This window comes from Homo sapiens, chromosome 3, assembly GCF_000001405.40.
Source record: "Homo sapiens chromosome 3, GRCh38.p14 Primary Assembly".
Classification (NCBI taxonomy): domain Eukaryota; kingdom Metazoa; phylum Chordata; class Mammalia; order Primates; family Hominidae; genus Homo; species Homo sapiens.
The window spans coordinates 62367361-62378425 of record NC_000003.12 but is presented as its reverse complement, the minus strand read 5'-3'; the positions used below and the strand labels follow the sequence as shown (position 1 = coordinate 62378425).

Genomic DNA, 11065 nt, shown 5'->3' with positions numbered 1-11065 from the left:
ACAGCACTAATCCTGAGAACAACGCGCACCGAAGGCGGAGGCCCCTGTGCTTTGGACAAGCCCGCCACGGGCAAGCCAGTTCGAATGTTTTCAATAAAATGCTTCCTGGGGAAAAAAGAGAGGATAGCAAAAGAATTTCTCTTCAGAAGTTAATCTATTTTCAGCAGCGGTTAAGCGCGGCACCAAGTAAATCAGATTCTAAATGTTCCTTTGGAAAGAAGGAAGAAAAGAAAGGAAAGGAGGAAGGAAGGAGAGCTGGAGGGAAGAAGGAGGGAGGGAGGGAGGGAAGGAGGGAGGGAATAAGAAAAGACATTCCTTAAACCATAAAGTTTGTTTGTTTCAGGATTGGTTCCTCCCCCCCCCCCAAAAAAAAAAAGTCAGGAAGGAGCGGGGTCCCCAGTGCCCGTGTTTCCCCAAACTCGGGAGCCGCAAGCAAGCCTTCTCCTCCCAAGCTGCTCGGCTCCCTGGGGAGATGGCATACATAGGGCGCTGTGTTATGTATTGCAACCAGATGAAAAAATAATAACGGTTTTTAAAATAATAGTGCCCCTTGTCATCCAGAACCAAGATATGCATGCCACAGGGGCTGAAATTGGAACACTTTTTGGAGTGGAAATGCTTGCCTTTTTCTTCCGTGGTGCAAATGTGTGAGCTTTTTGCGCAAGAAAGGGATTTTCTTCTGAGGTTGTCTACACCGCAAGAAGGCATCTGCTAATTTGTCCTAAAGTGAGGGCGATTTCGGGCATTTAAAAAAATATGTTTTTTAAACAAAAGTCATCATTACAGTGCTTCGGGTTAGTGACCATAAAATGGACAGAGGGAAGGGGAGGGAGGAGAGTCTCAGCTCTAGCCGCGCCAGTCATATTTAATATGCTTCCCATAAGAGAAGCTCCTGTAAAAATCAATAGACAGCCGCCAGCTGTGCTTAAACCTGCGATTTCAATTAAAACACTGCGCTCCAGTCCTTGAGGTTGGGCCCGGATCCCCAGTCAGTGGTGTGCGGGTTGCTTGGCCAGGGCGCGGCGTCGCACCGCCGCGGATCCCAGAGGTCGCCGCCCCGGTCAGGCCCCGCAGAGCAGCGGACGCGCCCGGCCTTGGCGCCTTGTTCTTCGGCGTGGGAAGGACACAGGCCGCCGAGGGGCCTCAGGCCTAACTGTGATCGTCTGTTTCCCTACCGCCGCCGGGAGTTTGAGGCCCAACCTAGGGCCAGATGGCGAAGAAGCCAAAGCGTCCGGCTCTAGGCTGAGGCGCTCCAAGTGAAATAGGCCTGGGGCTGAGGCCTCGGGCTAGGGAAGGCGCCAAGGTGGATTCGGGCCCGGCGGCCGTGCGTGACGGGCTGCAACCCACGCCATGGAGCGAATCGGAAGGCCACGGGCCTGGGCGCCCGGGGATTACACAGGGCAACCTAGGACTCCTGCCCTGGAGCGGAGCGCGTTCTGCGGCCTAGTAGGCCTCACTTGGGCCGCCACCGCGTGCCTCCCGGACAGGCGGCTTGCTGGGTCCTCCTCTTGACCCGAAGGCACCAACACCTCCAACGTGGAGCTTGTGTACCAGTTTGGGTTGGGAAAGAGACTGGAACTTACAGAATGTCAGCATAGCCTCAGCCCACTTCTACTGGAAAATCATGCTTTGGGGGACAGACTTCTTGGGGAGGGAGGGATAAGATGACATTATTTTCCATAAATGAATCCACATCCCTGAAACATCTGCTCAGCCCTGGAGCCCCATGTTGCCCTTCATGTCGAGTTATTTTGGATTTTCCTTTACTGAAAATGCGTAGGTGGAAAAAATGTCACCCCAAATCCCACAGAACCCTTCCACCGACTCCCTAAAACTGTGAGATTTTAATTTCTATAGTTGTCCCTCTTTAAAAAAAAAAAAGAAAGAAAAGAAAAGAAAAAAAGAAAGCAGTTCAGCCTCAAAGCAAACAAAAAAAAGATGCTGTATATAAGAATGAATTTGGAGGATTTGGGGACAGCGAACGGAAATCTCAGCACTCCCTCCACCATGCGCCACATTTCCCCAGTCCTCTATTATTCTGCCTGAAATCATCTCGTTTACAGAAAATATTTGTTTGCACTATTAGTTGGTACTGGAGTTAATTACTCAATGTGTTAACGTGAAGTAATATGTATAAAAGTAGGATCAGTGTTTATTGTGTGGGTGAGCTGTTGAGCGGTGCTTGAATAAACTGCAATTAGGGTTAGATAGAGATTAATTAACATGTGAGTGGCAAGGTGTAAAATAGTTTCCAACCCTCCACTTCAATATAATCTGCAGGCGAGGGAAGGAGAAGTTTGTGGAAGCTAATTAAATACTTTCATAAAAGCCAGTGTATTCACCCAACATTTGGAAAGAGAGGCACATTAGGGGCAACTTGTTTTTACCCAAATGTTTTCTTTCTGTGGAGGTAGCACTCCTTTGTGATGCTGGAGAGAGAGCGAGAGATGGCTTATGCAGCCACAAAAAGCGATAGAAATGGCAAGGCAGGTTCATGGGAAGCCCTTGGAAGCCTTTCAGCCTGATGGAGCTTTCAAACCAGCAGATCTTTCGAGCTGCTGCGGAGAGCAACAATTACCCAATTTGGAAAAAGGGTTGGGGTGCAGTACTTGTGGCAAACGGGATCCACAGGAGAGTCGGGATAGAAATTCGGGTCTTGAGATGCTGCAGGTGTATTGATATTGTTTCAATGTTGGGGTGAGTTGGTTTGTTTCATGTTTGGTGGGAGGAGGGAGTAATCTGTGCTGTTGTGTTCACATTAACATAGGGATAGGGGTACCCTGGGTCTGGAATTCTGTCTCTCTGAACATCTTCTAAATTAAATGGGCTATATGGAAATGTTCTTCTCCAGATGAGCAAGCCTCTTGGCTTAGAAATCTGGTAGTTTGGGGAGGGGGTGGGAGGGTGACGTTATGGGAACAGACTTATGATTGCGGAATTTAGGGGCAGTTTCAGAGTTTGGCAGGGTGAGAGCATTAGCCTATTGCAGTCCACCTCCAAGCCACTTTCCCTCAGGGACCTCTCTCTGTTCCCTCTCTTTTCTTTCCAAGTACACTTTTCCTTCCTTTACCTGCTATGTCCAAATCCTGCCTAAAATTGCACCTCAAAGGAGCCGCAACTGGATGGGTGGGCAGAAGGAAAGAGACTTTTATTGAAGGGAAAAAGGGAGCGATTTGCCTGAAGTTAAAACTAGAGCTTTTCTCCCCCGTCCCTTAACGTTCTCCAGGGATGTTTCGCAGCATGGAGGGGCCTAGGACAGGATACTCAGCCCTCTCAAGACTTGTTCCTGGGTGAAGAAACAGAGGGTTTACCTCTACCACCACTTTCTCTGGCTTCACATGATCGTGTGTCTTTGGAGATGGAATTCACTATCAAACCCTGTTTGCTCATATTATATCCACGGTAATCCTCTTAAACTGTGATTGCGGCTACAAAGCTCGTGGTCTTGCAAAAGCTGGCTAGCAAGATATAATTGTCCCGCGAACAAAACCAGCCAAAACTTTTCAAAAAACCCTTGCACCCAGTCCTCCCCCTTTCCTAAACCTAATTCTCTCGCTCGCTCTCTTGCTAGCCACCACCACCCCCCTCCGTAAGAACCCTCAGCCTCGACCACTTTTGTTGTCGCCAAGAGCACCCGGCCTGTTGAAAGTGCTGGAGCGTCTTTGAGCAGTTTGTTGTGATACGCAGGTGGAATGGTCTGCAAACAGATGAATTCAGCCCCTCCAAACCAAGCGCGGAGCGCGCTGCTTTTGTGCGCCAGGCACAAAACGCTGAATTCCTCCGAACTTACTTGGGGCCTGTCTAGAAAAGGGTCTTTTCTTCCCTCTGCTTGTACCTCTGGCCACACTAAGTCTCTGCCCGTCCCCCTTCAGGCCCCCTCCCTCTCCTCTCTGATAATCCTTCTCTTTATTTTAGAAAAACACAAAACCCGGTTCCACGCGGTGCTTTAGTGGCTAAAAGTGAAAGAGCTGCCTTGGCAGAATTCAGCTCTATGAATCACTTCGGAAAATTGGTTCGACTGAATGGCCTTAGGAGGAAAAACGTTTTAATAGGATCCAGGGGGAGGTTCTGCTGTTTCAATCTGCTCCTTAAACAGGTGGAGATGGGACCTTCTCAATTATACAAACAGTAAGTACCCATCAGCTGGGAGAGCTGCCCTCCGAATCCTCCCCGCACGCAGCCCTAAACCAGAAGCAGAACTCGGCTTTGCCTCAGAAACCCGATCATAAATCAACAATTCTGATCTATTAGGATCTCCGAAAGTCTTCCAGCTCTCGGTTTAGTCTCCCCCAGCCTCAGACCCAGAGCTGGCCATAAAGCTGGAGGCGCACCTGCGCGGCGCCGAGGCCCCCGAGATGCCGGCGAGCGGCCTTGCTCTCCGTGACGCTTCGGGGTCGTCCTTAGTCAGTGGGAGCTTTCTCCCGACCTCCGACGCCAGCCAAGGCGAGCTCATTGCTTTTGCATAAATTAATATTTCCCCATTAACAAGTTCCCCCCTCCAAACGCGGCGCCCGCGTCCATGCGCCACATCCTAATGAGGTAATTATCATTTGCGCGTGTTCGGGGCTGGCGCCGGTTCCGTGGGTAAATGGCAGTTTATTAGCACGATGCCCAGCTCGGCTGCGGAGGGCTAAGGGATACTTCGGCTACTAGACTGATACCCAGGGGCCCTTTGGGGGCGCCGCGTCCGGGACCCTCCGCCCTCCCCGCGTCCCCCAAACCTGCAGGCCTCCAAAGTTGTGAATCACGCACGGAACTCTGCCTAGGTTTGGGTTTGGGTCCCCCCCCCCCTTTCCTTCCACCGGCAAAACCATCACGATTCCTCCCCCTCCCCCTCCCGTCTCTTCCCTCTTTCCCTATTCGCAAACCGCTCGCACTTTCCCGAGAGGAGCGCGGGCGCCAGTTGCCTCCTTTTAAAGTTTGAGGGGCGGTGGTGGCGGCGGCCGGCAGGCGCGGGGGAACACAGGGGCCGCTACGGGAGCCGCGCCGCCGCCCATGTCATTCCACTTCAAGTGACTTCATGTGATGTCAGCTGAATGTAAAAGACAGTGATCTCACGCGGAGGGGAAGATGTTTGCCATCAAAATGTGACAGAAGAGACACGCTGCATGGCTCGGAACGCATCTCCTTGGTGGTGGGGGAAAGAGGTAAATGCGAGGTGGCTCTCCGGTCCTCTTTAACTTTGCCCCTTCACTGTCCAGCTCCCAGCACGCGTGGCAGAGGCCCGGGTCCAGGGAAGGGCTCAGGGGGGTTAATTTGAGACTCTTTTCTCACCGCCCCCCCCCTTTTCTTTTGTAAACCCTCCCCCTTCTTCCCCCTTTCAAAGTCCCAGGGCAGGGGCTGGTGGGTTCCTTTGCGCGCCGGGTTAATGGGCGGTAATTTGGTACCCTTGGGTGCACTTTGTTTTGCCCCTGTTCATTTGAATGCAAATGGGTGACCCGGGCCCGACTAGGTGCTTATTAAATTGCAGTTTTCCCCCCTGCCTTTTCCGGAATGCAGACTTAGAGGAGAGAGGCTGCGCCCTGGCCCAGCCTGGCTCGGCTCAGCTCCGCGCGCCATGGCAAGCTCGGCTTCCCTGGAGACCATGGTGCCCCCGGCCTGCCCGCGCGCCGGAGCGTCGCCGGCCACTTCCAAGACACTGGCCTTTTCCATCGAGCGCATCATGGCCAAGACGTCGGAGCCCCGTGCGCCCTTTGAGCCCCGGCCTGGAGCGCTAGAGGCGGACGGCAGCCAGGGCAAGAAACTGCTCAACCTCTGCTCGCCGCTGCCCTGTATGATCCCCCTCCAGCCCCTAGGCTACGAGGTGCCGTCAAAGACACTGCTCAGTTACTCGGAGCTCTGGAAAAGCAGCCTCCGGGCGGGCGGCGGCGGAGGCGGCGGCGGCGGTGGCGGCGGCGGCGGCGGGGGGGCCCCAGTGTGCGGCGCCAGCGGCTTGTGCAAAACCAACTGTGGCGTGTGCTGCAAGGCCGAGCTGGGCCTGGCGCCGTCCGCGCTGCCCGCGGGCAGGGTCATCAAGCCGCAGGTCATCAACCAGGCTGTGGGGCTGCCGGCCAGCGGCTCGCTCTACTACTTCAACTACCTGGACTCGACCGCGTACCCGCCGTCTGAGCTCCTCAGCGGCCACCTCTTCCCGTCTGGCCTCCTCAATGCGCAGGCCCCCGCCGCCCTGGCTGCTCACCCCAAGCTCTTTCTGCTGGAGAACGCCAAGCTGGCCGGCCTGGCTGCGGACAAGTTCCCCCACCCGGCTCCCTATCCCCATAAGGAGCGCTTGCCGGCGCCGCTGGAGCAGGTACTGAAGGAAAACTCGGCCCTGACTGCCGAGCGCGGAGGCGTCAAGGGCCACAGCAAGCTGCCAGGAGGCTCCGCAGATGGCAAGCCCAAAAACTTCACCTGCGAGGTGTGCGGCAAGGTGAGGCCCAGGGTTCGGCGAGGGGGGCCGGGAGGGGCGATCGGCGGCGGCGGCTTCCTTGGGGCAGCCTGGAATGCCCCTTTTTCAAGCTGAGGAGCTCCCCAGTAGTTGACTACCCAAACTGGGAGCCTCGTTGGGCCTCAGTTTCCTATTCTGTAAAATGGGGATGCCCTTGTCAGCGGCCACACAGTATTGGTGTAAGCAGGAGTTTGGGCAGCACTTTACAAACTGAAAAAGGCTCTGGTTTCTGAAGGGGGTGTTGGTTGGGGGAGGTAGGCTGTGGCCCCCCCGGGGCTGATTGTAGGCCCTCGGACAGACGCACCACAAGGCCCCCCATGTCTTTCCATAGGTGTTTAACGCTCACTATAATCTCACCCGCCACATGCCGGTCCACACCGGAGCCAGACCGTTCGTGTGCAAAGTCTGCGGCAAAGGCTTTCGCCAGGCCAGCACGCTCTGCAGGCACAAAATTATCCACACCCAGGTACGTGGCCCCCGGGTCGGGCCTAGCCCGCGCGCAACCCCCAGAATCTTAGTGATAACACCGGGGATACGATGGCCAAAGATTATCCCTTACCCTCTAGGGTTGAGTGGGGGTGGGGGGGATGTCCCTTCCAGGTGTTCCCGAGGTGGCCTCTCCTTACTGTGCACTCGCCCCTTTCCTCAGGAAAAGCCACATAAATGCAACCAGTGCGGCAAAGCGTTCAACCGCAGCTCCACGCTCAACACGCATATCCGCATCCACGCGGGCTACAAGCCCTTCGTCTGCGAATTTTGCGGCAAAGGCTTTCACCAAAAAGGTAACGTGCCAGGCGAGGCCTTCTCTTCTCACCTCACCTCAGGACTCGGGTCGCGGCTGGCTGGCAGGAAGGCAAAGAGGGATCTGGAGAGAGAAGGCGAAATCTGCAGGCGCGGGCGCAGCATTTCTTTAGAATCGGGTTGTGCCTGGTGTAGGGGGAAGCTCTCCTAGCGGGGTTAGTAGACCACGCTGTATGCAGGCTGGGTGCACTGAGAGACTCCGAATTCGAGAGGTCGAAGGAAGCACGGGGACAGAAGGAAAGGATGTAGGAAAAGGAGAGGGTATTGCCCTATAGAAAAAGGTTCCTTTTGTATCCGGAACTTCCCTTTCAAATGAAAAATATTGGAGGCAAAATAACCCTCCCGGGAACAATCTAAGATTGGGGGAAACCGGTATGATCCTTGGCCCCTGGATCGGATTTTCCAAGGCACTTTTGGATCTTCAGTTGGTAGTTGGGGGGCGAGAAAGAAGTAACTTTAAAAATGAGAAGGGGGAAAAGAAAAAGGATGAAGCCCGGGTTCGTGCGAATTTCTTCTAGCGAGGCATCAGCCAGGAGAAGGACTCGGTGCGTCTCTGGGCTACGCAAAAGTTTCCCGGCCCGCGGAGCGCGGCGGGAGGGAAGCTGCACCAGCCTCTGTGGCGGGCAGAGCAGGAGCGCAGAGCGGCTCCGCGGGACTCAGTCTCGGTCTTGTCGGGAGAGCACCCGGCTTGACGCTTACGAAGTTTGACAACTTCTTCACTCGAAGAGGTCGCGCCCGCCTAGCCAAGCGTCGCCTTTTTTGAGCAGGCACCTGGGCTGCCCCTGGGACGCCCGCCTCTTCCTCCCCACCATTCTACTCCATACCCCCACGTTTTTTGTTCTTGATCTGTTGTAGGGAACTACAAGAACCACAAGCTGACCCACAGCGGCGAGAAGCAGTACAAATGTACCATCTGCAACAAGGCCTTCCACCAGGTCTACAACCTAACCTTCCATATGCACACCCACAACGACAAGAAGCCTTTCACGTGCGCCACTTGCGGCAAAGGGTTTTGCAGAAACTTTGACTTAAAGAAACATGTGCGCAAACTCCACGACAGCGTGGGCCCTGCTGCCCCCTCCGCAAAGGACCTGACTAGGACAGTGCAGAGCTGAGAGCTACTGCCTTGCCCTTCCTTCCCTCCCTGTACCACCTGAAAACAGATCACACATATAAACTTATTTCTAAAATTAAAAGAAAAAAAAACTATAGCAGAGAGGCTAAAATCTATTTATCGAAACCAGCATATTTTTGGAAAGCTAAATGTTTCCTCGATGACTGGCAGCAAACTCGTGGCCCCCACCTTTGTATATTCAGGAAACTTATTTAAATCCAGTGCGCCGAAACGTATTTAATTCCAGGCCTCCGCTTCTCCTGGGGCAGCCAGTTTTAACCCCAGCCTGTCACCGTGAGCGCCCCAGAAGAGCGCGGCGCCCCTAGCCATCTTTATACAGCCATGTAAATCCTCCTGTACAAGCGAACACGGAATATATACATATATAACTCAATAAACAGAATCATTAGTGCGCGTTTTTTTCCCCCTCTCCCCTCGCGGCGAGGTCAGCTCAGCAACCCCAAAGAACGAGAAGGAATTAGGCGTTTATAGCATTTCCTTCCTAAATGCACCAATTTTGGGACGCTGGGGCCAGGGTTGAGGCCAAACCGGTGTTCTTGCTGGGCTTGTGTGCTAAGGCCCCCAGGAGTGAGGGCGAGCAGGCCTACGTCGGCCTACAGCAGGTGCCAAGTTTTTATTTGGTGACTGTTCAGACGCTTGGGATTCTGGGTGTTGCCTTATTTGGGTAAGCAAATTCAAAGAAAAGGGTTAAAAGCGACTGGGTGTTGGGGAGCAGCTTTTGGGAGCGTCCTTGAGCAAAGCGCCACGCCCCGCGAGGGTAAGCGATCTACGCCCTACCCCACCGGAGAGCTTCTGGGCGCGTCCCCTTCTCCGGGAGACCTAAGGAGGGCAACCACCGCTCCCAATCTCCCTTGGCGGCGAGAACTGGAGGGTAAGGGTCCCCCAGGCCAGCCAGAGCCTCGGGGCTCACTGGCCTGCGCTCTCGGTCTGGGGCTGGCCTCCCGGTGCCCTGAGCCCTGCCGCCGGAGGGCGCGCCCGGGCTCCCCGAGCTCGCTGCCGCCGCCGCCGCCGCCTCCTGGGTCCTGATTACCGCTCCGTTAGCCCATTTCCTGAATAGCTATCTCTGCTGCCGAGCACGCTGATGAAATGATCTCACGCTTGCTTTCTAAGTAATGACCCAAATTAAGAGAGAAAACAGAGACCCTTCAAACAGCATTACATTAATCATCTAATCATTCCCAGGAGGGGGCCGGCCGCCGCCGCCCCGTTTGATCCGAATCTGGATAATCAAGAGCTCGGATTACTGGCGCGTCGCTCCGGGCCTCCCCCCACACACACTTTTAATATCCGCGCGGCGATTCAGCCCACGTCTCTTGGAACAATGTTCCCCAGCGCCAGGAGGAAGTGCGGCGCGGGGCCCGGGAGTGCGCTTCCACGCAACCTCCCCATTGAGGGGGCGAGTGTGGCTGGGAGCTGACCCCACGCGTATTTCCACGGCGGGAGGCGACTATTTGAAGGGAAAGATGCTTAACGCAAAGGGCACCCCCTCACTCCGCCAAGTAACTCAGAAAGTGACTGGAGTGCGGGTTTGCCCAACACCTGGTATACAGTAGGCGCTCAGTGCTGAGAGTGCCAGTGGTTTCCACTAGCGAAAACCCTGTCATCTCCCGAGGGCTTGCTCTATGCCAGGAACTTAACACACATCCTCTCGAACGGTGACTACAACCCTCAAGCTGGGCATGATTATTCCCACTCTACAGACGGAGAAATAGAGGCAGAGATGAACTATGTGACATGCCTGGGGTCACCAGGCTTGGTAGAGCAGGAATTCGAACTCCGGGGGTTTTAGGAGGCCTGCGCTTCAGTGGAGGAAGAATCTCGGGGTTGGGGCTCGGAGAAAGACGCTCTGGGGCAGGATGGAGGTTGTGTCCTGGTCAGCCAACGGTTCTGTCCCCGCCCGCCGCCCAATTCGCAGACCCATTGCGCGGGGAAGGAGAATTGTCGATTTTGTTTGCACAGAGGACGGCGACAGCTTCCTCAGGCTGTCGCGGGGGTATTTTTAGTACCTCCGATTCAGAAATAGGAACGCGTACATTAGAATTCCATTTCCTGAAAGGAGAGCGTCCTCGTTTTTTTGTATTCCTCCCCTCCTCCCCTCAAGTCTAGGAAGACGCAGCCAGGGGAGGGGGGAAGAGGAAGCGAGGGGGAATTTAAATGTTAGCTCGTTCTGGCTGCAGTTCGCTTAGGGGAGATTGGGACCCAGAGGAATATGCAGATTTAACTCCGAAATCTCGGTGGATGCCACAAACCCCAGGAAACCCCAGGATGGGCGAGGAGGACTTGGCGGCTAAGGATATGAAAATATCGCCTTGCTTTTCCCAGACATCTATCCCCAGGGAGACTGCAGGCCGGTTTAAGGAGTCAGCTCCCTTTCCTTGTCCTCATATAGTACAATAGTGTCTTATTAGCGCTCTCCCCCCATTACGTCTGGGAGATCTTGGGTGTTCTATGACAGTGCCCTATGACAGCCATCTCAACCAAAATCTTTTCCTTCCTCTGGAGAGGATCCTTTGCAAATGTGGTTCTTGAAGACCAGACAATGACCAGGGCAAGCCCACCTTTTTCTTAAATAGCTCCAAAACTTTGGGTGAGGGACAGATACCACAAAATTTAATGCAAGGTCTCCTCTTTTAAAAGTTATGGGAAAAGTTGGCCTGCACGTGGAAATCAGGGTCAAGTTCTCTTTAAGAAGGAGAGATAAA

General features: G+C 54.3%; 1 protein-coding gene and 1 long non-coding RNA gene across 2 annotated transcripts, besides 7 other annotated features; both read left to right on the top strand.

The window, feature by feature from the left end:
- Window positions 675–1272: an enhancer, noted in NCBI's record as "H3K27ac-H3K4me1 hESC enhancer chr3:62362829-62363426 (GRCh37/hg19 assembly coordinates)". NCBI's record gives its function as "activates a minimal SCP1, AML or CMV promoter by ChIP-STARR-seq in naive H9 embryonic stem cells {active_cell/tissue: H9 hESC(naive)}" and the evidence as "EXISTENCE:reporter gene assay evidence [ECO:0000049][PMID:30033119]".
- Window positions 1273–1872: an enhancer, noted in NCBI's record as "H3K27ac-H3K4me1 hESC enhancer chr3:62362229-62362828 (GRCh37/hg19 assembly coordinates)". NCBI's record gives its function as "activates a minimal SCP1, AML or CMV promoter by ChIP-STARR-seq in naive H9 embryonic stem cells {active_cell/tissue: H9 hESC(naive)}" and the evidence as "EXISTENCE:reporter gene assay evidence [ECO:0000049][PMID:30033119]".
- On the top strand, window positions 2575–4210 carry LOC105377647 (uncharacterized). The gene is made up of 3 exons (XR_940901.2): window positions 2575–2697; window positions 3227–3402; window positions 3916–4210. It is a non-coding gene; the product is annotated as an uncharacterized LOC105377647 (long non-coding RNA).
- Window positions 3530–4235: an enhancer, noted in NCBI's record as "VISTA enhancer hs435". NCBI's record gives its function as "enhancer in: midbrain (mesencephalon)[3/3] | forebrain[3/3]" and the evidence as "EXISTENCE:transgenic organism evidence [ECO:0001131][PMID:17130149]".
- Window positions 4876–8745, top strand: FEZF2 (FEZ family zinc finger 2). Its single transcript, NM_018008.4, has 5 exons — window positions 4876–5147; window positions 5500–6409; window positions 6759–6893; window positions 7077–7209; window positions 8084–8745. Exons 2-5 carry the CDS (start codon window positions 5558–5560, stop codon window positions 8341–8343), a joined length of 1380 nt encoding a protein of 459 aa, NP_060478.3. The 5' UTR covers window positions 4876–5147; window positions 5500–5557; the 3' UTR covers window positions 8344–8745.
- Window positions 5035–5592: an enhancer, noted in NCBI's record as "H3K27ac-H3K4me1 hESC enhancer chr3:62358509-62359066 (GRCh37/hg19 assembly coordinates)". NCBI's record gives its function as "activates a minimal SCP1, AML or CMV promoter by ChIP-STARR-seq in naive H9 embryonic stem cells {active_cell/tissue: H9 hESC(naive)}" and the evidence as "EXISTENCE:reporter gene assay evidence [ECO:0000049][PMID:30033119]".
- Window positions 5593–6152: an enhancer, noted in NCBI's record as "H3K27ac-H3K4me1 hESC enhancer chr3:62357949-62358508 (GRCh37/hg19 assembly coordinates)". NCBI's record gives its function as "activates a minimal SCP1, AML or CMV promoter by ChIP-STARR-seq in primed H9 embryonic stem cells {active_cell/tissue: H9 hESC(primed)}" and the evidence as "EXISTENCE:reporter gene assay evidence [ECO:0000049][PMID:30033119]".
- Window positions 8480–9385: an enhancer, noted in NCBI's record as "NANOG-H3K27ac-H3K4me1 hESC enhancer chr3:62354716-62355621 (GRCh37/hg19 assembly coordinates)". NCBI's record gives its function as "activates a minimal SCP1, AML or CMV promoter by ChIP-STARR-seq in naive H9 embryonic stem cells {active_cell/tissue: H9 hESC(naive)}" and the evidence as "EXISTENCE:reporter gene assay evidence [ECO:0000049][PMID:30033119]".
- Window positions 9386–10292: an enhancer, noted in NCBI's record as "NANOG-H3K27ac-H3K4me1 hESC enhancer chr3:62353809-62354715 (GRCh37/hg19 assembly coordinates)". NCBI's record gives its function as "activates a minimal SCP1, AML or CMV promoter by ChIP-STARR-seq in naive H9 embryonic stem cells {active_cell/tissue: H9 hESC(naive)}" and the evidence as "EXISTENCE:reporter gene assay evidence [ECO:0000049][PMID:30033119]".

What these genes read in the sequence shown, in the direction of transcription:
- FEZF2 (NM_018008.4), top strand. Translation starts at nt 5,558, where the DNA reads ATGGCAAGCTCGGCTTCCCTGGAGACCATGGTGCCCCCGGCCTGCCCG. An exon ending in ACAAAATTATCCACACCCAG is followed by an intron (nt 6,894 to 7,076) that starts GTACGTGGCCCC and finishes CCCTTTCCTCAG; the next exon opens with GAAAAGCCACATAAATGCAA. An exon ending in CAAAGGCTTTCACCAAAAAG is followed by an intron (nt 7,210 to 8,083) that starts GTAACGTGCCAG and finishes GATCTGTTGTAG; the next exon opens with GGAACTACAAGAACCACAAG.